Source organism: Homo sapiens, chromosome 1, assembly GCF_000001405.40.
Source record: "Homo sapiens chromosome 1, GRCh38.p14 Primary Assembly".
Classification (NCBI taxonomy): domain Eukaryota; kingdom Metazoa; phylum Chordata; class Mammalia; order Primates; family Hominidae; genus Homo; species Homo sapiens.
In genome coordinates, this window is record NC_000001.11 from 36,810,853 (window position 1) to 36,837,156 (window position 26,304).

The window sequence follows — 26,304 nt, forward strand, 5'->3', positions numbered from 1 at the left end:
GTAAGGACAGTCTAGCTCCTAGTTCACCTCCCCCCATCCCGGCAGCACATGCCTGAGGCTTGCTTGTGGGGGGCTACAGGCTGGGGGTGGAGGTAGTGAGAGGGGTGAGCTCCACTGCACTCTGGTGTCACACCAGCTTGGACTCAAATGCCAGCTCCTTTTGTGACCACAAGCAAGTGACATCACCTCTCTGAGCTTCACTTTCCATATCTGTAAAACGGGTGTTGTAAGAGTACGTGCTACTTAGGGTTATCGTGAACATTCAACAAGACAAGGTGTGTGAAGCGTTTAACACAGAGCATGCCCCTAAGGCTCCATAGGTGGCCGGAGTCACTCTTTCCCTTTAAGGCTCCTTAATTCTCTGTAAGGCCCAGTTTTCTCATCTAGAAACTGGGGAGAAAAATCTCTATAGTGCTGAGTTGCTATGGCACTTAAAGGGGTAAAAACTCAAATGCTGACAGGGTCCAGGCAGGGTATTGAAGTAACTAAAGAAGGCTGGGGGGAGTCTGTAAACTGGAGATAAACATTGCCTCTCAGCTGCTGAGAATTGCTGCAATTGATGTTTTAAAAAATATACATATATAAATAAGCGATGTGTGGCCCCTCCAAATCACGTCTATGGGCTGCACAGGCCTGTGTATCACCAGTTTGCAACAATAAACAATAAAAAGTTAGCATTCACTGCATGCCTACTTTGTGCCAGGTAATGCTGTGAGGTGAATACATGAATTATCACATTTAATCATCTCAATGGCTCCATAAGGTGGGTGCCCTTTAGCTGGTCATCTCCAGTGTGCTCCAGTTAAGTAATCTGCCCCAGGAGGGAATTTCGGGGCAAGAGGAAAGGGTCCAGCCTGCCTCTTTGGTTTCTGTTCAGCCAACTGGAGGGCTGTGTGGAAGAGAAAGCCTTTGACCTAAGTCCTCCTGTATGCCTGGCTCTGGGCTAACCACTGTACATACAGGAGCTCACCGAACCCTCTTGCTAATTGCTGCATGGTGAAAATAAGTATCTGTGTTGTACAGGGGAGCAAATGGAAGCCCGGATAAGTGAAGTGACTTGCCTAAGGTCACCAGCAGAGACATCATCCCAGACTCAAATCCTGGTCTGTCTGACTTTAAAACTGATGTAACTTGATGACGACAGGCGGCATCACACTGAATTCTGCCTGGGCATTACATTTTGGTCCCCCTACCTGCTTCTGCTTGAAGGCAGGGCTAAGACTGTATGTGAGAGAGGCCAGCAGATGGGTCAGGAGAAGCTGGAAGCTGAGTTTGGGGAGCATCTTCCTAGGCCCTCCAGCTCAAGGAAGGGTCTGTCATGCAGCTGGGAGGCAGGGTGTGGACCAGGTGACCTCTCTGACAGCATGCCCAGGTCAGATGCTAGGAACCGAGGCTGTGCAAGGGGGATGGCCTGACAATGACCAGGGGCCCAGGGAACCTGGCATTCTCGGGCTCCCAGCTCCCACTCCTTTCCTAAGCCGCTATCCCTCTCATCTGTTATGTGCTCTCCCACCCCCAGCACTGAAAAAGGTCTAAGTGCTTGGAGAAGCTGTCTTCCGATGTCCTCTCTCTTCAAAGCTGTGCAGCCCTCCCTGCAAAGAACACGCTTTCCCAACGTTCTCCTTTACATTTTGCCTACATATTTTTATAGCCAAACAGTGCTTTCAAAGGCCTCTTTTTTCATCTCCTAATTAATTTTTATCTTCCAAGACGGAGGGAGGACAACACAGGAGACGCTGTTTGTGATGTCTGCTGCTCCCTGACAACTCTTCAAATGAAATTCCTCTGGAATGATGGGTCTGCAGGGTGGGGGCGAGGGATCGAGAGCCCCCCGAGAGCCCAGCATCCCGCTTCCTGCTGTTGTCGTCTTTGGACAGAAACAGGTTCCCTCCCTTGTGAGTTCTACTCTCAGTCAGGGCGTTTTTTTAAGACTGTGTGCTTCCTAATCAGGAACATGCTAACCACAGAAATCAAGTTCATCTGTCCTGCACTCTGGACCTTCAATACAGGCTGCCCACTCAGTTCCTAGTCCTCGATATTATCTCCTGCACTTGTGCCACTTGGCTGCCGCCATCTTTAAATCCCATCCTTTCACTCAATAACAGTATCCACTCAACACGTATTATTAGAGCAACTACGACGTGCCAGGGCTGTGCAGGGCTGGGTATGTGGTCAACTGACTGTGGCTTCACTTTTCCCCAACTGCCTCCTGAGGACTGTGGCTGGGTCCTTAGAGAAGCCATATGAACACAGTGACCAAGAGCATAGGCACTAGAGCCAGGTTGCTTGGGTTCAAATCCCAGCTCTGCATTTCACTAGCTGTGGGATGTTAGGCAAGTCAGTTAGCCTCTCTGGGCCTTCCTTTCGTCATGTTTCAAATGGAGATGATAATAACAATCTACGTTCCAGGGCTGTTATTGAGGATGTTATAAACAAATACAGGTAAAATGCTTGGAATGGTGCCTGGCACAAAGTAAGTGTTCATTAAGTGTTACTGTTATTGTTGACTTTGCCAATGTCTCCTAGACATCTGATGGCTCCTCCTGGAGCTGCCTCCTGTTCAACAGTAGTGCAGCCTTGCCATATACTCTCATGGTCAGGGGAAGACCACCTCTCTAGGAGAAGACCCTAGAGTGGATGTGGGAGAGGGCACTGTGCATGAAGACAGCATGTCTGACCTTGTACCCCGCTCCACCACTGATCTGCTGTGTGATAATGGGCTGGGCCTGTTTCTCTGGGTTAATCTCAGGTCTCCTTCCAGCTCTAACCTGCAAACATTCTGTGCTAACCAGAAGGCTATCACCTGGCCCGGGGGGAAGGTCTACTTAGGAAGTCCAACTACAGAGGGCAGAGGGGTGACAAGGCAGGGAATTGGTTCATCCAGGGACCTTCAGCGGGGGCGGGGCGGGGGGTGGTGCTTCTAGCTCATCATCTGAGGTGGGGGGGCAGTTAATGTATCTACATTCAGGCTCTTCTCCAATATGTAACAGTCCCATTGCTGCTGCTGATGACAGGGAGTCTGGGCAAGGAGAGCTTCACTTGAATTAAGGCAGGAGACAATGTGGCCAGGCATAAAGAGGAATTAATTGACCATAGGGACAGGAAGAAAGTGGAGTTAGTTATGCAGGGGGTGTGGAGTTGTTGTTTCTGACCCACAGACTCCTGTGAGCATGGGCCCATGAAGCCCCAGCATCCCAGACAGGTGACAGCATTTGTATGTCTCTTCTGCCCTCCTCGCTGTGCCATTTGCACGGAAGGTGGGTGAGGGCAGAGGAGGCTGTGGGAGGTGCTGCTTGATGGTGAGGGCAGCAGCTCGGTGGGGAGCTGGGGCTAGCTTCTTGGAAGCCAATCTGAGCATCTTAGCATGGAGGGAGGCAGGGACATCCAATCAGCGGCAATGAGCCTGCACCAGGCTTATTTATGCCGTTTCACTTTGATCGGGAGCCCTGCTTAGAGATGGGTTCATGCGTTATGCATGAGAGATGCTCTGGCACAAAGGGCTGGGCCACAGCCTGGGGATAGGCAGGAGCAGGCAGGCATGTGTGCACATACACACACATACACATGCAGACACATATGCATGTACAGTTCATTATACACACACACACCCAGAGACACATTCATATGCATGCATGGACCATTATACACATACATAGACCCCCCCCCCCCACACACAGAGACACATATGCATGCATGGGCCATTATACACACATACATCCAGACATATATACATGCATGGATCATTATACATGCACACACAGATACATATGTATGCACAGGCCATTATACACACACACACTCAGATTCATGCATGCATAGGCCATTACACAGGCATACACACACAAAGGCGAGTATACACACACATGCCTGCACAGGCCATTACACACACACAGGTCCATCTGCCCTCCACTTATCTAGACATACCCATGAGGATATCCAAGCAGACAGACAAATGTATTTTCTCTGTACCCATATACAGGTAGACCCTCGGGTACACACTTGTACACATTCACAGGCACATGTCCACATGCCCAGATCACAGAGATGCATCACACATATGTTCAGCACACATACACATAGATGCAGACACGTGTCCAAGCACAAATACACACATGTCCCCACACAGGCAGAGTTGTGCACAGGCACATGTGTGCACATACACACACGTGCACATTCCCACATATTATATGCTGCTACATGCACATGTGAAGCCATGCATGTATACACATCCTCACCTACTCACTCATAGGCAGGAACACATACAGAGTCCCATAGTGTTCCCAACATGCCTTTGATAATGCCGTTGTCTTCCCCTCACTCTAAATACACAGCAGTGACCTCTTAGGCAAGTCAACCAACATCCCTCTTGGCAACATCCAAGAGGGAAGCTCCTTTCCTCACTCACTGTCTCTTCACTACAAAGCTGTTTCCAACCTCAAGGAGGGACATGGTGGGGGCTGGGCAGCGGGGAGGGGAGAAAGTGCCAGGGGGCTGCAGTGCCCAGGAGGTAGAAGGCTTTCCCACCCAACCCCTTCCTTCTCTCTTCACTCAGGCCCCACTGGAGGCTCCATCTATCATTTGGAGGCTTAGCCTAGGAGGAGGCAGCGGCTGGGAGATGGGGAATTAGAGCCCAGAGGAAAGGAAAATACCCCAGGCTTCCATTCCAGGTTGATTGAGAGCAGTTGATTAATAGATAAACATATAAATAAGTGGGCCTGCAGCCACAGAGTTCCTAAATCCTAATCATTTCTGGGAAACCTTTGGAACAGTGGTTCTCCAAGCACAGAACCTGGACCAGCAGCTGCAGCGTCACTTTGGAACTTTTTAGAAATGCACATTCTCGGCCCCATCTAGACCTCCTGAGTCAGAAACTCTGAGGGTGGGGCCTGCAAGCTGTGTTTCTTTCTTTCTTTTTTTTATTTTTTGAGATGGAGTCTCACTCTGTCACCCAGGCTGGAGTTCAGTGGCACGATCTTGGCTCACTGCAACCTCTGCCTCCCAGGTTCAAGCCTTTCTTCTGCCTCAGCCTCCCCAGTAGCTGGGATTACAGGTGCACGTCACCTGTAATTTGTATTTTTAGTAGAGATGGGGTGTCACCATATTGGCCAGGCTGGTCTCGAACTCCTGACCTCGTGATCAGCTCACCTCGGCCTCCAAAAGTGCTGGGATTACAGGCATGAGCCACCGTGCCTGGCCTGCAAGCTGTGTTTCAACAAGTCCTCCAGATGATCTGAATGCACACCCAGATCTAAGAACCACTGGCTTAAAACAGGGCCCTCGAGGAAGGTAGGCCTGGGTCGCACCTGGTTCCTCCAGCTGGGCATCCCTGGACAAGCCACTTAGCTGCTCTGGGACTCAGTTTCCACACGTGTAAAGTAGAAATAATTCGAGTACCAGCCTCCCAGGATTTGTCATGAAGATTAAATGAGGCCCAGCATTTAGCGCAGCTCTTGGCCTACTGTGAGATCTCAGTGGCAGTAGCTACTGCTATTACTACTTTAATTTCTGGGAGAACCTTTGCAGCTTCTGGTTCTCAGGGCCAGCCAGAGTCTCCTAAGCCCTCAGCTACTCCAGTAGAAAGTGGAAAACATTAGGGCACTCAGCAACACTTCACAGAGCAGGAGGAGCAATGAAATCATGGCCAGATACCCATTAGAGCAGTCACTTGAGCAGGTGACAGGGATTTTATCTGCTGACACCAGCATTCCTAGAGTGTAACATGCTCAGTAATGTCTGTAAACACTTGTTCAAGTTCTAAGCCTCCTCCCTTCCTCTCAAGATTTGGCCCTGCTGCTGTCTCCCCAACCTCAGGTTAGCTTCTTTGAGATGGACGGCATTGAGGTCTGAAGCCAAGGGCGGGAAGCCCCTAGGGCCTGTGTGTCTGGGTGGCTCTTCCCCTCCTTCCCACTTCTCCAGGCCCCTCTCTTCATCTGTCTCCCTCTGATGACTTAAGGAATCATAACACATTCACATTGCTCATCTCAGGCACAGAAACTTCTAGGATTTGTGTCGAGGCCAACCCAGTTGGCCCACATCACCACAGCTCCCCAAAGTCAACTAGTCCAAACACGGTGGGGCTGAGAGGGCTTCTGACCCATTGGCCATGCGTGGTTAGGGAAGGACAGAGACCCCCTTTCCTCTTCTGCTCAGTAAAGGGTCCGGAGAGGATCAGCTCACGGTGCTGCAATAGGAGGGAGAGGGCCTCACCTTGAAGAAGGTCATGGTGGCCCCATCCTTGACAGCCCCATACTCGATTTTGGTTTGCTTGGCCAGGTCATCAGCAGAGTCAATGGGTGATTCCATGCGCTCCACGGTCAGAAAGGCAGCCAGGTTGGCCGTGTAGGAAGAGATGATGATGAGCGTGAAGAACCACCAGATGCCACCAATGATGCGTGTGGACAGGGCTTTGGGCATCAGCTCAGACCCTGGGCGAAGAGAGGAGATAGTCAGTCCCTTACAACATCCAGACTAGCGCTGCTCAAGTCCCCTGGGTCATGGATTCCTCTGATACTCTAATGAAAGCTAAGGCCCTTTCCCAAGACCAGTGGTTCTCAAAAGTGTGGTCCCTGGACTGGCAGCAACATCATCACCTGGAACTTGTTAGAAATGCACATTCTTGGGCCCTTCCCCAGCACTCACTGAATCAGTAATTTCTGAGGGTGGGAACCAGCAATATGTTTTGAGTAAGCTCTCCAGATGATTCTGACGCAGGCTAAAATTTAAGAATCGCTCTTCTAGAACAACATATACATTCACATTTCACAGGCTCATCAAAACCTCAGATGCCTAACCATGGACCACTTATGTGGTCCCAGCTTAAGAACACCTGGGAGTCAGGACCCTTGGGTTCTCGAGTGAATCCTGCTCCCAACTCTCAGTGTGATCTTATGCCTGATACTTCCCCTCTCTGGGATTCTGCAAAACATGAAGAATTGTCCTTCCTCTGTCCCAGCCTCACATAAATACTGTGGTGCTGCAACGATATAATTTGAGAAGAAATTGCATTGGAAATACAAATGGTATACAAATACAAGATTGCTATGCAGTGCTTTGCAGGAGGGGAAAAAAAAATCAACACTTTTTGAAGCTCTTTGCCGAAATATATGACTTTTCTTCCCCGACCTTAGGTGGGGAGCACAATAGAGATGACACCTTCTAACTGAAGTAATTAACTAGGTGGCTTTCAAGAGATTTAAATTGCAAGTGACTCCTGAACTTTCCAGAATATTTGGACCTGCAATCTGAAAACCGTCTGCTTTGATATGATGTTTTTTTTTCTCAAAGAAGTCACTCAAGGGAGAGTTTTTCAAATACATAACTATTTTTCTCCCTCCTAATCAAAACCACATGGAGAATACATCAAGGGCCAGTGCTTTGAATAGCAGCAGGAGGTGGAAGAGGAGAAGCTATTACTGCATTGAGGGGCTTCCAGGTCTTTCCCAACTGTCACCGAACAAAGACGATGGACAAAAAAACAAGGTGAGGCTCCAGGACACTCATTAATAGCAAGGACAGATTGAGGCACTTCCCTTGAAAGCTGCCTGTCACTTCCTAGCTGCTAGAGACCACTGGGGCTCTGTGTCCCCTCCCCAACTGGCCACTCCCAGCCTCCCCAGGTTGCTCCAAACCAGGCTTTGGGCTGCTCTTAGAGGGAGAGCAGCTTATTTGAGTCACTTGATTGCTGAGTTCTGCCAGCCTTGCCAGACCTCTGCCCAAGTCCCTGCCCTGGCCTCTGCCATGGCCAAGAGGTTTCTCGCATGTGGGACAGATTTGCTTTTTTCCTCTCCTCCTTCATTCAAGTGCCCAGCACAGAGCCTGGCATGTAGTGGGTGCCCAGGACACATTGGGATAATGCCATTTGCTCATTCATTTGGTGTTTACTGATGGATATCTACTGAGGACCAGGGTTTGTGAAGGTTATACACAGATGACTGAGGGACAAGGACATTTTCTCTGTCCCTGGAAGCCCCTTCCCTGCCTGCCCCCTAAGCAGGTCCCTCAGTGAAACTCTAACAGCAAAAACTTGTCTGCACTCCCTAAGATAAGAGACTCTGGACATGGGACTCCACCTGCAGAGGGAGTGAGCACATGGCTGGTGGCCAGCAGGACCAGGGGGCGGTGTCCTTTCCTGGCTGGTGGTCCCCTCTCCCTGTGCCTGCCCTCCTGCTCCCTGCTGTCTCTGCATCTGACTCCTGGCAGTTAGAGCAGGTGCTCTGCTGCAGATAGTTCCAAAGCACATTGGCCCTCCCTCCAGAGGATGTAAGAGAATTGCATCTTTTTGTGTACCTCATCTTTGAAGCACTCGGGCTGAAGTCCCCAACTCAGCCATGATCCTTCCTACTCCCAGGCACCTCACAGCCAAGCGGCCACGGAGTCCCATCCACAGTGTATCCTGAAGCTCTCTTAGTCCATTTCTGCCTTCCACTCCCAGGGCCACCACGAGGTTCAGGTCTCATCACCTCATTCCTGCAGTGGCCTCCCACCCAGACTCCCTGCCTCTGGTCTCCTTCCATCCACAGCCCAACTTGCTCAGCTGGATTGTGTGGTGATGAGGCCATGGGCAGGGTCAGCCGCAGCCAGCAGGGTGCTCTATGTCCACCTCAGCTGGAGCAGGAGGTGGGGGATGCGTCCCGCATGCCCTGGGCTGGGTGGTTTTCTTAGCTTTAGACCCTGAGCCAGCTCCAGCCAGAGTGAAGGTGGAAGTTAGGGGTCTGGGGCAAGGGCACACACCTGGGTATCTCGATGTCTCCAAACTTCTGCCGGCTCATCAGGGTCTGAGGCTACCCCTAGAGGTGTGGGCTGGCTCTGCTGATGCCAAAGAGGCTGAAGACCGCTTGGGGAAAGCAGACCCTGGAAGGGGAGGCCCTGGGAGAGGGTGCATACCTTGCTGCATCAGGGATCCCATTCCAAACCAGAAGCTGTTAAGCAGAGTGAAGTTATTTTCCACCACCTCGGAGCCAGGGTTGCAGGGGTGAGCATCGTACCACTCATAAGGGCTGAACCTGCCACAGGAGGAGAGGGACAGTCAGCCTGGGAAGCAAGGGGCATCCACGCCCCAGCAGGCAGTGGTTTAGCAAACACAGCTGTGCCAGCCGCCTCAGCGTCAATATCCTCATGGTTCTGCTGGGAGGCAGGGCAGGGGAATTTCTTCTTGTTCTTTATTGTTAGTGCCCTTTTCTGGTTATAAAGGTAATTCACCAGCATCTCGTAAAATTAAAAGTGCACATGCCCTTCAGGCTCCCAGTTCTGCAACTCATTATCCATCCCAGAAAAAGCACTCTTACGGGAGCATCAAGAGAAGCACACAAGGGTGTTTATCAAAGCATTGTTTGCAATTGCAAAAAAAACCTGGAAACCACCAAAATATCCTTCAATAAAGGAATGATTAAATAAATGATGCCACAACTATACTGTGAAATATTATGCAGCTGTTAAAAGAGAATGAGATACTTGAGATGTGCTGGTGGGGAAAGATCTTCAACACATATTGTTGAAGATCTAAGCAATAAAAATATTAAAAGCAATGTATTAAAAGCAATAGAAAATAAGAACAATATGACCACACTTAAATAAACAGACTCCTAAAGACATAACTATTCAGTGCTTTATGTATACTCATATGCAAATGCATACTAAAGGGTCTGAAAGGGTCTCTAGATAAAAACTATCAGTGTTTACTTCTGGGGAGGGGCATCAAAATAGCAGAAGGAATTTCAGGAGCCTATTGCTCTATCTGCATTACATAAATTTTTAAAAGTGAGAACATGCTTTTGAATTTTGGGTATAATAAAAAACCTTAAAACGGAAAAAAAGCAGAAGACACATTTTATAAAATATTCAGACAGTATAGATGAATACAATCTGAAAGTGAATGTACTCCAGCATCCTATCCCCCGGAGAGAACAATGCGTTATATAATTTTTTAGATTTTTGTCTTTGAATATACAAATATATATATGACAGGGAAAAAATGATTACTTAAAGCCACCTACTGCCTTCTAAGGAAGAGGAGTCCTGATTATTGAATTGAAGGGAGTTTTTGTTCACTGCGTGAGTTCCAGTTGAGGATATGTATGTTTAAAGAAGCTCGAGAGGTTGGGGGGACCCTAGAAAAAGTCCCAGGCTGGTGGACATTTTCTCTAGATTTGTGGGGGAGGTTTTAGGATGCTGAGAGGACACATCTGGAAGGAGAGACAAGTCTAGTGGAATTTTGTTTCATTTTTTAAAGTGCAATGCCCTTTAAGTGTGATGTTGTGACCTCTCTTTTCTGTCTCCCTTCTAAAAGCTGTAATATATTATACATTGATTACCAGTGGTCATGTGGAAAGAATTTTATTTTCATGAAGCGGGAAGATCCCTCAAATAGGAAATTCTAAAGAAAGGTTTCAAACCAAGACAGGGATCTTCAAAGGAAATGACCACAAACTGGTTAGAGGCTCTAAAATCCACAGGGAAGAGATCTAGAATGGAGAAAGCAGAGATTAGAGGCTATTGTGAGAAGGGTTTTTGGAGAGAGCCTTTGGAGAGCTGGGTGTCCAGAGCCCCCGCTTCCTCTACCACATCTAGGGAGAGGGGCTTCCCAGGGGGCGAGGCAGCTCAGTGCCTGGCTCTGTAACTGAGCGGATGGACCTGGGAAGTGTGAAGGGCAGGGGTCGGGCTGATGGGTGCTCTGTCGGTGGAACCAGGAGAGTCCCTGCTGCACAACATTGGCCTGCAGGCCCAGACACCACCGGGTCCCAGGATGCTGGGTCCACAGTGCTTCCCCTGGACCAGATGGACCCATGCAGAAGACAGATCCAGCCCAGGCCGACTTTGACTCCCATCCTAGAAGGCAATGGGATTCCAACAGGGAGATGCCATGGGGCACAGGCTGCTGGAGGACCAGGGGCTGTGTGGGGAGTGGGCCATGAAGAGAGGCCTTGCCAGAGGGGGCCACTGGAAGAGCACCCACCTCTGAACAACCTGGAAGGTGGGAGGGAGACAACATAAAGCTGATTTCTGGTGAGATCTCCCGAGTCCTGCTCTTTACATGTACCAGGCACACATACACAAATATATAACATATATGATATTTTTAACCCCAAAAAATCCCCTATCATACCACTATACTGTCCGAAAACTTGGTTTTTCATTTAATGTTACCAACCTCTTTTCAGGTCAGTTCTTCCGGATCTACCTCATGCTCTGTGACCACTCCGCAGGTGTTTCTAACCATGCCTTGACTGATGGGCACTTAAGCTGTCCTCTCTTTCCAGCTGTGGTGCACTCTGCTGGAAAATCATCCTTGGACACAACTCTGTCGGCCCTGATGCCCAAGGGTGGCCTTGTCTTCTGGGGCTTGGCTGCAAAGCCTTTCTAGATTTGGGAGAATGCTAAAGTGTGGCTCAATGGTGATGTTTCAACAGGATGAAGTTCCAGGGGTGGAACTGCTTATCATGATAAAAATAACCGCTTCTAGAATGGGCTTCTTGGCTATCAAATGCCGTTACAGGTTGGGGTCCTCATCGCCTCCCGAGAGGTGAAAGCATGCACGGTGCCCATTTTACAGATGTGGAGGCCACGAGGATCCTGCAGTCAGTGGGACAGAGCGTCCAGGCTCTAACCCTCCTCGGCCACAGGAGAGAAGAGGAGTGGGATGGTCGCAGGACGAGGAGGGAAGGTGTCATCTGGAGTTAATGGCAGATCTTGGATTTGTAGCTTGCGGTTGCAAGGGCTTCTCCAGTCTTGAGAGTAAATAGGAGTTAGAAGTTGACCTGGAGACACTCTGTCTCCACAGAGAAGGCTACACTCCATCCCCAGCTGGAGTGTGGAGGAGGAGACAGGGCATCCACTATGGCCAAAGCTCTTGCTTCCTTGGGATACTCAACCCAGATTTGGCTGCAATGTGGCCCCCAGGAAGTAGATGGGCTGCTCACCCTCAGCCCTGCCTCCTGGGTCAGGCACTTAGGATCATCCCCTGTCACGAGTGCCAACTGTCCTGATCTCTGTGGTGAGAAAGCACCCCCTGCTCCCTTCCTGTTTCCTCCTACCTCACCAGGCATGAAGCAGAATATCTTGGTGGCAGTGAAAGGCCTTGCACAATGCCTGGTCCCCTGGTGTGGGCCAAACAGGTCAGGCCAGGCCAGCGTGCAAGATGGACAGTCCTATGCCAACCTGGAGTTGCCCCAGAGTGGACCTGGGGACCTGTCCTCCCTTCCCAGGCCCCATTTCTTGGAACTGTGGGCAGCTGTGTCCAGATCTCCAGCAGCCAGCATGGTCACCAGGAGTGAAGGGGAGATGGCCGCATTCACCCTACAGATATGTTGTGCTTGACCCTGCCAGTGTTATACAAAATTAAACGGCCAGGCGTGATGGCTCACGCCTGTAATCCCAGCACTTTGGGAGGCCGAGACGGGTGGATCATGAGGTCAGGAGATCGAGACCATCCTGGCTAACACAGTGAAACCCCGTCTCTACTAAAAATACAAAAAAATTAGCCGGGTGTGGTGGTGGGCACCTGTAGTCCCAGCTACTTGGGAGGCTGAGGCAGGAGAATGGCGTGAACCCGGGAGGCAGAGCTTGCAGTGAGCTGAGATCATGCCACTGCACTCCAGCTGGGTGACAGAGTGAGACTCCGTCTCAAAAAAAAAAAAAAAAAAAAAAAAAAAAATTAAACTAGTGGCCACACAGAAAAACCGTGAGATGTCACATAAAAATCCAAATCTCTCTCTCAGGATCATGAGCTCTGCAACACTGGCCCGGCATCTCTGCCTGGTACAACCTGTTGGAGCTGAGCAGCAGCTGCCCCCTTCAGCCAGGTGAGCTCTCCGGGGTGCCTTAGTCCCTACCAACTCTCCGCTGCCTATCACTATGCCTGCTTCACTCCCTTTGGCCCTGGCAGGTACTTGCGTTTGTCATCCTTGATATAAAGTTGGATTTGAACTTTATATCTGGTCTGGGTTTGAAGCCCAACTGGTCTGGGTTTGAAGTCCAATTTGAACTTTATATCTGGTCTGGGTTTGAAGCCCAACTCTGTCAAAGAAAAGCTTTCTGATTCTGGGCAATGACTTAACCTCTCCAAGCCTCAGTTTCTGTTTCTATAAACTGGGGATAATTATACCCACCTCAAGAGAGGTGTGAGTGGTGGTGTGAGGGTGTTGGGCGAGGTGACAAGTGCACTCTGATGCTCTTCCTAGCTCGGCGGCCAAAACTCTTGTCCCTCTCCTCTCTTCTCAGGGGTCTCCTATCATTACAGCAGCTCTAGGAAACCCATCTCTTCTAGAAAGTCTCCCAGCCTAACCTTGGGAAGGAGGCTCCCACCTTCCGAGCCTGGAGGCAGGGTGGGAAGAAGGCTTGCTAGTGAAGGGCCAGGAATGAGAGGGGGATGGGACACACATCAAAAGGGCAGAGCGGATGCCAGAAAAGCCCGAGAAGGTGGGAGCTGAGAGACCCCTGGAGCCGCTAAAATCATGCTGCGAGCTCTGGAGAGTGGCTCCTGGCTTTCAAAGGCTTGTTAGACCATTAGAGACAAGAGGCATAAATGAAGGCCTCTCTGTGGCAGGCTCAGCGGCTGCTGCGCCCACCAGGCAGGGTGGCCATGGCAGCTTCAGGCCTCTGGCAGCACAGGGCCTGGGGAGCAGGGACATTTCATCACTCACAGCCTTCCCTTTGGTCTCTCACAGCGTGGGAGGAGGGAGCGGAAGGGAGTGAAGTGGGGGGAGGGCGGCTTTTAAAGAAGGCTCTGGAGAAAAAAAAGGCTGAAAACGCCAAGTCATTGGATCTCAAATTGCCTCTCCAGAGAAGTCTCTCTTTGCACTTTGTTAGGATTTAGAGAAAAAAAAGGACCAGATCAGGGGCTGGGGCTGGAGCCCAGAGGGAGAAGGCAGAGGGCTCCGCTGGAAAGGGGTGGGGAGCGGGCCCCAGCAGCCACCAACCCGGGGCAGGGGCGGACCACCGGACGGAGATGTGGGTCATAGATAAAAGGCTTGGTGACCCCCATGGTCAAATGCTGTAAGGTCACCTATTGCTTGTATGACCTTGGCAAGTGGTGAGACTTTCTGAGCCTCAGGTGTCTCCTCTTTAAGGGAGGCTGGAAGAACTAAATAAGATAACAGCTGTAAAGTGCAGAGCACAGTGCTTGGCGAGCACTAGGTGTTCGCCAAACACTGGGCGAAACCTGTCCCATAGTGACCTCCTCCTACCACCCACCAGCCAGGGTGCGCTATGTCTACTTTATGTGAACAACCAAATGTGCAAGCATGTTGCTAGCAGGGAGCCCAGACAGGGATGTGTGTATGTGTGCCGTGTTTCTGCATGTGGGGATGGCTGTGAGTTTACTGGGCACTGTTCCCCCTGCTGTTGTGGCTTGGATAGACACACCCTGTTTTCCAAGTTCTAAGCCACCCACTGGGCCACCCAATGTCCTGAGTCTGCTGCACCAGGTGCCTAGCTCATGTGGTGCCACTTTGGGCAACCACTTGACCTCTACGAGCCTGCCAATGGGACCTGAGGTGCAACTGCTTCATCTCAGAGTTATAGACACAGACGAGGGTGAGGACCAGGTGATTCAAGCGTGGGGGTGGGGAGGGCCAAGGCATGGAATGTTCCTTGAGGGATACAAAGGAATCTGAGCCATAGGGAGTGGAAGAGGAGTGGGTACAGCAGTGGCCTGAGCCTTGGGCTTTCTGTGCCAGGGGCTGAGGAGATGAGGACCTGCCTAACCCCTAGACCTTCAACCTTGGGCCCGATGTCTGGCCAAGGAATTGCCTTACCTGGCGATGACGAAGAGGACACAGCTGACCCCCAGGTAGGCGAGGAGAACATACATCCAGATGTCTGGGGACAGGGGATTGAGGAAGGAGAAGACGCTGGGGTTGGTGCCATTGGGCTTTCGATACAGGATGCTCACACCAAGTGTCATGAAGGGCTTGGAGAAGTCGATGGCCTTCTCTCGAACATGGGTGATGGTCAGGGGGGCCACGGCCAGATCTGCCTTCTGCAACCAGACAGAGAGAGAAAGACAGACTATGAGCAAAGTCTCAGAATAGCGGGAGACAGAACACCATTGCTGGAGGAGAGATGAGGGTGAAGTCAGTTGTCCCAGCCCCAGGTCACTAACCGCTCTTCTGTTTCCACATTTACTAACCCTCCTTCAGGGCCAGCTCAGGGTGCTGGGGAGACAATGATGAATTCAACTTAACCTCTGCTCTCTAAGAGCTCATGGTCTTGAAGAAGAGGGTGGTGGAATAAACATGCAGAGAATGGAACTCTATTAAAGCTGTAACCCATGTGCTCCCTTCTCAAAATGGTGCTTTGTCAAATAAATACAGTTCAGTAACCTATGAACATTCAAAAATAGCTTGTGCTTTTTATTTGTGTCTTTCAAAACCACAAAGAGGACACAGAATGCACCACAATGCTTATTTAATTCTGCTTTCCTCTCCCATCCACTTCTTGACTGCTTCACCACATTCTGGATTTTCTATATATCCTAAAAGCCCTCCAAATGCAAGTTGGGCAAAGATAATACCCTCCTTTGGAGAAACTAGACAGGCAGGCTGGGCGTTGTGGCTCATGCCTGCAATCCCAGCACTTTGGAGGCCGAGGCAGGAGGATAGTTTGAGCCCAGGGGTTTGAGAATAGCCTACATAACATAGTGAGACTCCATCTCTACAAAAAATTAAAAAGTTAGCTGGGTACAGTGGCACGTGCCTGTAGTCCCAGCTACTTGGGAGGCTGAGGTGGGAGGATCTCTATCTCTTGAGGCTGGGAGGTAGAGGCTGCAGTGAGCTGTGATCGTGCCACTGCACTCCAGCCTAGGCAACAGAGTGAGATCTTGTTTCAAAAAATAAAAAAAAAAAAAAAGAAAAGAAACAAAAGAAGCAAATCCAGGGCCTTTATTAATAGGAGGTGGTGCGGAGTGGAAAAGAAGGGGGTGGGGTAATTCTAGGAATGCTGTGTTAATAAATTTTAGCCCATCACAATTTTAATAAGCGGAAGAATTAAAGTTCAATTTTTTGGTCTGAGATTTTCCTGATTAAAAAACTAGATTCCCTCATTCCCATCCCATCTTTCCAGGACCCCACTGGCATCCTCCCCCATGAGGCCCCAATGAAACCACTTCCTGCTTACCACAGTCCCTCCTTCAGCCCCATGTTCTGCACATTCCACACTGTTTAGGATGTCCTCTTCTTATAGTCTCATTCCCACCACTGTCTGCCTTCCTCTGCACATCTTGCCTCTTCCAGAAACCCTCCCTCGCAGCCTCCATCTCTAAACTTCCATGAAGCCAGCTCTGCTTTGCTTGAATGGCAGTCTGTGCTCCATGCGACCTTGTGTCTGATCTGCTTATTTGCCTGTGAATTTCTGAGTGCGGCTGGAGCTGGGGCGGAGTCTCTGCTTCTTTTCTCCATCCCCAAGCCCCATCTCAGCCTCTGGAATATTTGTTAATTAATAACCTTCCCCTCTGAGAGGCTGCCCCTGGGGCTTCTGTGGATATTTACATCTCAGAATGTGAACTAAGTTATCACTTCCCTTCCTCAAGTAGGAGAGGACAGAAAGGGAGGCTGGGGCCTAACAACAGAAAGGTTAAAGACCTTTCTGGCAAGGGGGGACCTCCCTCTGAAACCCCTTTCCAAGGCAATGCCTCCAGGTGTCCATCCATTAACTTGGTCCAACTCCATTCATCCACTCATTGTGTCATGAACTCCAACAGACACCAGGGATACAGAGCTGACCCAAACAGACATGACTTCTGCCCTCATGGAGCTTACAGTCTAGTAGGGGAGATGGGCATTAATCAAACTGTTTACTAAAGGGTACCTGCTAACACTAGCTCTGACTTCACTCATCTTAGAACAGGAACTAGCAATCCAGTCAAAATCAGATGTCAAGGAGGGAAGCGCTAGTATGGATGGAATCACAGCTTCTGGACAGCTCTGCAGGTGCTCCCGGCTGGGAGCAGCTGGGAAATACAACTTTGACACTGCCTACCCAATGTTTCTCCTTCTAAAGGCAGCCCCCACACCCCATCACTGACACTTGGAGTCCAAGGATTTGATGACCTTCAGAACCTGGGAAAGATAGGGAGGAGGAGCCTATTAGAAATGGTCTTTCTTTTGTAAATGTCTGAATGTGTGAGTTGGAATTTGCCTGGCTGAAGGCAGAAGGAGGAATGGGGCAAGCTGCCGCCACCCCAGCTCCTGGAGTCCTTTCAGTTCAGGGTATATACAAAAGAAAGCAGAAAAAAAAAAAAAAACTCTCAGGGAGGGTGTAGAGTGGTGAGCAAGAGACCGAGTCCCTGGTATCATGGAGCTTCCAGTTAGTGAGCCCCTGCTGGGGCTGTAGATAGGATCCCTTGGTGGGGTGGGAGCCTGAGTGAGATACCCTGAAAGGTTCCTTTCAGTCCTCAAGTTCTAGGATTCTCTGTAATGTTGACGTGAGAGAGATGTAGAAGGTCTTTGATTCCAGAACTTGGCGTCCCCAAGTCCTGTCCCTTCAAAGTCCAGTCATGTGCTGCCTAACTCTCTTGGTCAACAGTGGACTGCGTATTCAATAGTGGTCCCATAAGATTATAATACTATTTTTGCTGTGCACCTTTTCTATGTTTAGATAACTTTGCATACACAAATGCCTACAGTATTCAGTAGAGTAGCATGCTGCACAGGTTTGTACCTAGGAGCAATAGGCCATACCATATAGCTGAAGTGTGTAGTAGGCACTATCATCTAGGTGTGTGGAAGTATAGCCTATGATGTTCCAACTACGATGAAAATGCCTAATGACATTTCTCAGAATGTATTCCTGTTGTTAAGTGACACTTTACTCTATATTGCTTTGGGAGGTTCTGTCCTCACTCCAAAGTCATTATCATTGCTCAAAATGCCTTTGGAACTGGTCTCTGGAAATGGAGTGGATTCTTGGGAAGAACCTCAAAGTCAATGGCGGTGATGAATCTTCCTTTAACTTTTGATGGCAAGTTGGATAAGAGAGTTATGGCTGGGGGACTGAGCTGTTTGTAGCCAATGATTATTCCAAGGGCTGGTGAGAAAGCTAATCACATGGCCACAGGTGATTGGCCTTCTGGCCAGCCCTTCCCCCAGATCCTCTCAGAGCCTTTGAAACCTCCCTGCCATTCTTCCTGCTCTTTGGTTTTAATGGGGTCAGGAGACCAAGGCATCCGCAGCATTCTATACCTACGGTGGCAAGACAACTGGCCAATATGACCTTCACTGGGAGTTTGGATCTGTGTTCTCCCTTGGGCTTCAGGAAGGCTGGAGTTCTCCACTGCGTTTCTGGTTAAGGCAGAAAATACTACATTTCACCGTTAGTTACGATTTCCCTGAGAAAGGCATTATTTTGTCCAACTTCCCTTGAAAGATGGGAACAGATGTCAAGCCTTTGCTGTTTCGGTTCATTACTCAGAATGAAAGGCCCAATCTTGGCAGGCTCTTCCCACTTGTGCAAGTTTTCTTTGAGGATGATTCATAAAATCATAGGCTGTCAGAGCTGGATGAGAGAACTTCAAGTCTATTCGAGGAATACATCTATTCCAACCCCATGGTTTTTATTGTTTTTTGTTTTTTTTTTTTAACAGAAGGAAACTGAGGCTCGGAGAGAAGCTCCTTGGTCTTTGCTATAATATTTATAGCAATCATGTCCTGAATGACATCAAACCCTTGACTTGTGCAACACTTTCATTGGTCTAACGAGTGTTTTGTCAGCCCTCCTGCCTCACCAAGGACCTTTCTGTACTATTTCTAAACCTCTGGACCAGGCAGGATGGTCTTCCCAGGACATTACTTCATCCCCATAAGCAGCTTTCCACTTACCAAGAATCTGTTGGGACCCTCCTGGCTTCTCCTCCTCCCAGTGTCCTCTATCCTTGCATGAGGTCACCTGGCCCCCACCCATTCTACCACACCCCCAGCTCCCCAAACTGAAGGTAAGAACAATTTAACCTGCTATAGCTCCATCTTTTGTTCCTCAGTCTCCAGATGCCCTGGTTGCTGGTTGAATCCTGCCTTGTACTCCAGACTAAAACCTGGACATCTTCCTACCAGGAATGGGGTTGGGACTGTGGCCTCAGCTCTAACAACTTGTCACTGATCAGCCTTCTCTTAGGACAGGGGTCCTCCCAAGGGTCTGAGATCTGGCCTCTGACTCCCAGCTTGCTGCCTGTGTCTGGTGTCCCTGCTGGAAGCTGCCTGCTTGGATTCCCAAGTATAGTTCCCACCAGCTTCCTCATCTCCGTTCTCCACCTCTTAGTTGGGATCCCCATCAGACAAGCCAAGCATGACTCAGTGTATTGCGTATGCTGCCTATGCCTATGCCATCTTCCCAGTATCCCCGCCAGGTGGTCAACATCCTCGTCATATTCCAGATGGGGACAAGTGGCTTAATCAGGCTAGGAGGCTTGTTTAAACTGGTAAGTGGCTGAGCCAGTACTTGGACCCAGTTCATTGTGATCTCAAAGCCCAACATTTTACCACTCTACCATGCAAGCCACATGTAGTGGATTGAATTATGCCCCCCCACCCCCAATTATGTGCAAATCCTAACCCCTGGTACCTATGAGTATGATCTTATTTGGAAATAAGGTTTTTGCAGATGAAATCGAGTTAAAATGAAGTTATACTGAATGAGGGTGGGCCCCAAATCCAACGACTGGTGTCCGTATAAGAAGAGGAAAAGAGGAGACCGGGCGCAGTGGCTCATGCCTGTAATCCTAGCACTTTGGGAGGCCAAGGTGGGTGGATTGCCTGAAGGCAGGAGTTCAAGACCAGCCTGGCCAACATGGTGAAACCCCGTCTCTACTAAAAATACAAAATTTAGCTGGGCATGGTGGCATGCACCTGTAATCCCACCTACTTGGGAGGCTGAGGCAGGCAGAATTGCTTGAACCTAGGAGGCAGGGATTGCAGTGAGCCGAGATCACATCACTGCACTCCAGCCTGGGTGACAGAGCGAGACTCTGTCTCAAAAAAAAAAAAAAAAAAAAAAAAAAGAAAAGAGGATGCACAGATACACACAGAGAAGGCCATGTGATGCTGGAGGCAGAGACCGGAATAGCAGATACAAGCCAGAAGCACCAGGGACTGCCGGCCACACCAGAAGACTGGAGAGAAGCATGGAACAGGTTCTCCTTCAGAGCCTCCAAAAGGAACCAGCCCTGCTGACACCTTCATTTCTCATTTCTGACCTCCAGCACTGGCAGTTCATGGCCATTTGGTGTGGCAGCTCTAGGGAACTAACATTCCTGCCACTTAGACCCTGTGCAGGATGCATGGGGCTCCTTCCACAGCCTGCTGCTGTCCCCACCCCAGCACCTGTCTCACTCTGAAGAGCAAGCATCATGGCTGGACCCACCCTGCCTTGTCCTGAGCCCAGTGTTGCATTCCCAGAGACGTGAACTTGACTCTGGCCCCTGACCATGGGGCTTCCCGGCATATACTTCACGTTGCCTGGCTTGGGAGCCCTGCAGCTGCAGAAAGCTGCTGGTACACCCTTGCCACCTCCAGGTCCCTCTGCTGCTTCCACAGCTGCCTAAGTAAACCAGCCTCACTCCTGCCATGCATACGGGACTATTCCCAGGGGACTCTGCTGGCATCCTGCCCACATCTTTGGTATGTGGCATCACAGAATTCACCTTCTGCTCTTTCCCCAAAGTGGTGGGAATCACCACTTTGAATCTATCCGTATCCATGGTGCTAATTAAAGTAGGTCAGGACTTCCTAATACCCTTAGGATAAAAAATTCTTACTAGGGTTGCTTACAGTCATGCGTGATCTAGTCCAGTGCTGTCCAACAGAGCTTCCTGCAACGATGAAAAGGTTCTCTGTTTGCACTGCCCAATATGGCAACTGCGGGCCACACATGGCTGTCAAGCATTTGAAATGTGGCTTGTAAGACTGAGGAACTGAATTTATACTTTAATTGAATTTTAATTAATTAAAGCTTAAAATTAAATAACCCCGTGTGGCTGGTGGCTGCCGCATTGAAAGGCACTCCAACATTTCTTACACTGTCCTCCCCATCTCTCTTCCTCCCAGGCTTTCTGCAGCCCCTCTGATCCATGTTCATCCAGCCCCTCCTCTTACCTCCGGATGCTGCACATGAACTGTTCTCCACCTGGAACCTCTTCCTCCCCAAACTCTTTGTCTAGTGAATGCCGACTTCTGCTTCAGATCTCAGCCCAATCATCACTTCCACAGACACAAGCCTCAGAGGAAATCAGAACTCCCTGGCGACTGCTCTACTGCTCTCATCGCACCAGGCACTTGTCACTCCCAGCACTGATCACAGTTGTGATTTTAGAGGCATTGGCCGATTCTCTGGGTGTTTCCACCCCCTCAGACCACGAGCTCAGGAGAGTGAGGCCGGAGCCTGTCACCTTTTCACTGTTGTGTGCCCCATGGCTGGCACAGTGTCTGGCACATAGTAGGCCTTTCATAGAGACTCTGGGAATGAATGAGTAGGATGTTGCTGGTTTAGACGAGGCACCCAGCGAGCGTGTCCTCTGGGTCAGCTGACAGAGCACATGGCCGTTTACAAGAGGATAAAGCAAGTCACAGACGGTGTCTGCTGCTGAGCCACAGCCTCCAAGCTTAAGAAAACACTGTGTCCCTCAAGGGCCTTGGACATGAACCTGACAAACCAACACCCTGAAGGGTCCACAAATTTGAACAGAGGGGAAACAGGTGCTAGCCCATTCATAAGTGTCAACCGATGGGTCAACTACTAGTACCTGTGATTCATTCACCAGCTTCCTGAGCTGACAGCAGCCTCACTGCCTAACAGTGAGGAAAGATGTGTGTACCCTTCCTGGGCCTGAGAGGACAGCCCAATTTCTGAGGCCCAGCAAGCTCCATCCCTATGCCTCTGTCCTTTGGGAAGGATGGGCAGGTCTTCCCTGCTTCATAGACCCCATAGGGGTCCCCAGGTTGGAGGCACCATGGACTCCGTGTCCCTTCAGTCAAGTTCTCTCCCCACACCTCATACCCTGACAGTTGTATTAGCCCAGACAGGGCAGGGCCTGACCTAGCACAGCCCAACGGAGCGGAAGGCAGTGGGCCCCCCTGCCCCCAAGGCTAGGTCCTGGTTACACACTCCCATAGCCCCCGCACTGCTCCTCCGTGTCTTTATCACTATGAAATTTTTATTTGTAAGTCACTGTGGGACGCCCAGCTCCTCTGCCAGGATATACAGCCCAGGAGTGTGGGGAGTGAGCTTGTTTCACTCACTGATGTGTCTGTAGGGATTAACGCAAAGCCTGGCACAATGTAGGGGCTCAATCAAATTTTGCTGGAAGAATGAGCATCAAAATACCCCCAAGAGTCCTGCTTACCCCTTACCCCAGCCTAATGGGCTGAGCTCTGGCGTCGGGTCTCCTGCACTAACTCTCGCCAGTTCACCTGATCCTGTCCCCTGCCTGCCTCTCTCCAGAGTTTAGAGCCTGCTGCTTGTGCCCTGGCCCCGGATGAACCCACCTGAACATTGCTACCCCTCTTCCTTCTGACCTGTCAGTGGACCCTAGCACCGATAGCCCTCACCTGCCCTCATTCCCACCTCAGAGAGGTCCTGGTGAATCCTCAGCTCCACAGAGCTCTCCAGTCACTGCCCTGGGCAACCTGGCTGGTCGGGGGAGGGCTGGGCTCCACCTTTGGAGCCCATCTCTTTCCCCTGCCCCCAGGTGAGCTCCCAGCATGTCCAGCTCCAAAGAGCCCTGCTCCAGGCTGGGGCAATGGGATTGGGCGGAACCATCCCTGGCATTGCAGACAGAGGTTGGGGCCAACACATGCAGGCCAGAACCAAGGTCTAGTTCCTAGTTGGGAGGAAGATGAGACACAGCGGGGGCAATGGTAGTGTGTCTTTGATAACAGATCTTCCCGTCACACCTGCCAACCCACCTGGAGGCTGGGAAACCAGAGTTCATAGTGCCATGGCCATAACTGGGGTTGGGGGACAGCTTCCCAAATCCATGTCCTCCTTCACCCAACCCTCATCACCAGTTTCTGCTGCATAACCAGTTGCCCTTCCTGGCTTCCCCTGACTGCTGCTGGTGAAGGCAACAGGGCATGGCTAGCCCTGACCTCTCGAGTCTCCAAGATCTTCCCCCAAAGTTTCCTGGGATGGGTCACAGTGACTCCCCACTGCTCTCTGATCTACAGGACCTGTCAGCCCAGGCCCCAGTCTGGGAACCAGGGAAGCTCTTCCACCCAGCCCAGAACACTTGCTCTCATTGAATATTTATATCTATTCCTATGTTCATAGATAATTGCCCATTTCTTCCACTAGAATGTAGGATCTTGAGGATCAGGGAAGGGATCCTGCCTGTTTTGTTCACTGCTGTGTCCACGGCTGCTAGCATGGGGCCTGACTTGATAGATTTATTGCAGAAATGAATAAATCAGTCACTGGGAGCACTGGAGGTTTAAAAGAGATCCCCCAGCAAGCGCTGTCTCAGGAGTGCCATCCTGCAGTTGGTGGGGGCAGGGAAAGGGGAGCAGGGGTCGGGGGATAACAAGTCAGAGAGAATATCTGTGGATGACCTGCCAGCTAGCTGTCAATCTTAACACTTGGCACTGTGGCCATCGATAACCTTGGAAAACAGCACCATGAAAAGCCCACATATATTTAAATAGATGGGGAACAGGTGCTAGAAAATTCGTAAGTATCAACCAGTGGGTCATGTCTCTGTGGTTGGCACACAGGCCTCCTGAGCTGATGGATGTCTGACAGTGAGAAAGGATGGGTGTGCCTCTCCCAAGCCTGGGAGAACTGCCTGGTTCCTGAGTCCCCACGGGGACCAGCCTGTGCCTATTTCTTAGGAAGGCTCAGTGGAATTTCCCTGCTTCAGGGCGCACTCCAAAGGATGCATCACAATCTCTATCGCCATCTCCAAAAGAATCCTGTCCCCACCCCCTGCATGTCCACAAGGGTGCTGTCTGTCCAGGGCTAGCCCTAGCACAGTCCTGCCAGTGCTCCGGGACTCCACGCACTCAGCTGCAGCCCCAGCCAGGCCCTGACCAGGTGGAGACTTCAGCAGCCTCTGCCATCCACCCAGACATGTGTCTTAGACCTGTCTGGGACATCTCTTCCTCATTCTTCAGGTAGCAGCCTAATAGTCACTTCCTCAGGGAAGTTTGAGGCCTTTTCCTCGGGGTATACTCCCAAAGCCCTCTATCTTTCCCGTTGCAGCACTGATCAAAATCTTAATGAAATATCACTTGTCTGATTCATTGTTTGCCCCCGGAGGGTAAGGACCATGTCTGCCTGGGTCACCCTCACTCCCTAGTCACTGCTCTGGGTCTGGCACAGTATCAGTTGGGTCTGGGCTCAGACCCCTCTCAGGCAGCCTTTCAGATCCTCTGGCTCTGGCCAACCTCATGCAGGTCCAATCTGACAGCATCTCAATGCCTGCCCAACTGGCCACCTCTGGCCTCCAGCCCTGTGGTTTCTCATAGACGCTGCTGCAAGATCCCAATTGGTTCCCATGGCCACCAAGCCAAACCCAGAATGCATGGGAGTCAGGAGCTGGTGGATAAACCTGTTTTCCCTTCCTCTGTTTACCCCAAGAGATGGTCCTGAGACACACTTTATAAAGTTTTTCCAGGGTGCAGACTCACAGACTGAGACATTAGTCACCCTCTATGGCAACCAGCTCAATAACACATCCTTGTGTTGCCTTCCTCCTTCCTTCTCCACATCCCTTGCCCTTGGCACTCATTCTTTCCCTGGCATCACAACCCCTAATTGAGTAATGGCATAATCCCCTGCCTCAGGTTCTGCTCTGCAGGCTCCCAGGCTGAGACATTGCTCAATAAACTTTCGTGCAATTGATGAAGGAAGGAATGATCCTCAGCAGGGGAGCTTGCATGTTTCAGCTGCTCCTTCTGACCTCGGTTTCCCCCAATACTCCCTTCATCCCTCAAGCCCTCTTGCTCTCTTACACCTGTTTGTCCGGACCTGGACCCCTGCCAGGCTCTTTCCAAGCCTTTCCCCAGGCTGGTCTCTGCTCACTGAATTCTGGAGCTGACAGTTCTGCAGTGACTCTCGATGGGGCCCCAAGTCCCTCCTGCACCCCTCACCTGCTTCCCTGGTCTCCCCAGACAGACCCTGGAGACATCCCGAGCTCCCCCAGGGCTCCACAGTCATTGCTCTGGGCAACCTGGCTGCTCCAACAGGAGTCCAGCTTTGCAGTTTCCCCTGCCCTCAACTGCCCTGTCCCCTCCAGGATTCTGACTTGCCCTGGGGGAGCTCCCAGCATGCTTTACTTGCAATTGTGCTGGCCCAGCCCAAAGGAGGTAGCTTGGGCAGAGCATTTCCTGGCCACACAAACAAGGGTATGAGGCTCCTCCTGACACCCATGCATGCGGGCCAGAACTCAGATCTGCTTCTGGTTAGAAGATGGTGGACATGGTGGGCACTGGGGTCATGGCCTTGACATAAGGCCCTCCTCTCACACACCATGGCTGGGAAGCCAGCTAGTCACGACCCCACAACAACCATGCCTCTGGGCAAAGCATGCAAGTCCATGTGTTCACCCACGTGTCCCTCATTCAGCGAGGCTGCTCTGTGTGCGTCCAGCCCATGCCAGGTGTTGGGACAGCAGCCAAGTTTAGCCCATCAAGTGCTCCCCGTCGGTAAGAAGAGTCACACAGGGAAATTGGCACTTCTAGCTGTGCCACCCTCCCTGGTCTGCACTCAGTGTTACTGGGAAGCAGAGCGGATGTGTGGGTGGTGCAACTTCTCCATAGGAAAGTATACAATATGCTAAGGCTACCAGTGATGACTCTTTGTCTCCATTGTGTTCCATACTTCATCTTGGTCCAGCCCCATCTATGAGGCAGGGAAAACTTCTTATCTGGCCATCCATACTGCAGTGAGATGTGACAACTTAGAGAGAAAAGAATCCATTTCCCGTGGCCTGCAGAGATTTTATGCATCCCCGTTAGCCTCCCTCTTGCTCTGATGCAGGGGGCTGGGAGAGCAGCCAGGACAGAATTCTGGGTCTCCGAGGGTGAAATTTGAGAATAGGAGCACTCAAGGACCCTGCTGGGGCTGACCTTGTACCCCCAGGAGGTCACGCTTGTGCCAACTCGTGGATGCTCATTCCTCATTTCCCTTGACCTCCTTGAGGCCACTGACCCTCCCCCCCTTTCTAGTAGCCTCTCTTCCTTGGGCCTCCTTCACCCCATGCTCTCCTGATTCTCTTCCTTCCCCTCCAGCCTTGCCAGCCCAGGCATCCTGTGGCTTCCACCCTTTCATCTGTGCCATTCAGGGTCCCACCCCAGGTCCTCATCTCTGCTCTCCCTGAGCAGCTGT

General features: G+C 50.7%; 1 protein-coding gene across 1 annotated transcript in view; it reads right to left on the reverse strand.

Moving 5' to 3' along the window:
• GRIK3 (glutamate ionotropic receptor kainate type subunit 3) overlaps positions 1-26,304 on the reverse strand; it is a 238,989-nt gene that overhangs the window by 15,326 nt on the left and 197,359 nt on the right. The window contains exons 11-13 of the mRNA NM_000831.4: positions 14,751-14,974; positions 8,884-9,002; positions 6,208-6,425 (exon numbers count right to left, since the gene is read on the reverse strand). Coding sequence (NP_000822.2) covers positions 6,208-6,425; positions 8,884-9,002; positions 14,751-14,974 — 561 coding nt within the window. The remainder of the gene's footprint in view (positions 1-6,207; positions 6,426-8,883; positions 9,003-14,750; positions 14,975-26,304) is intronic.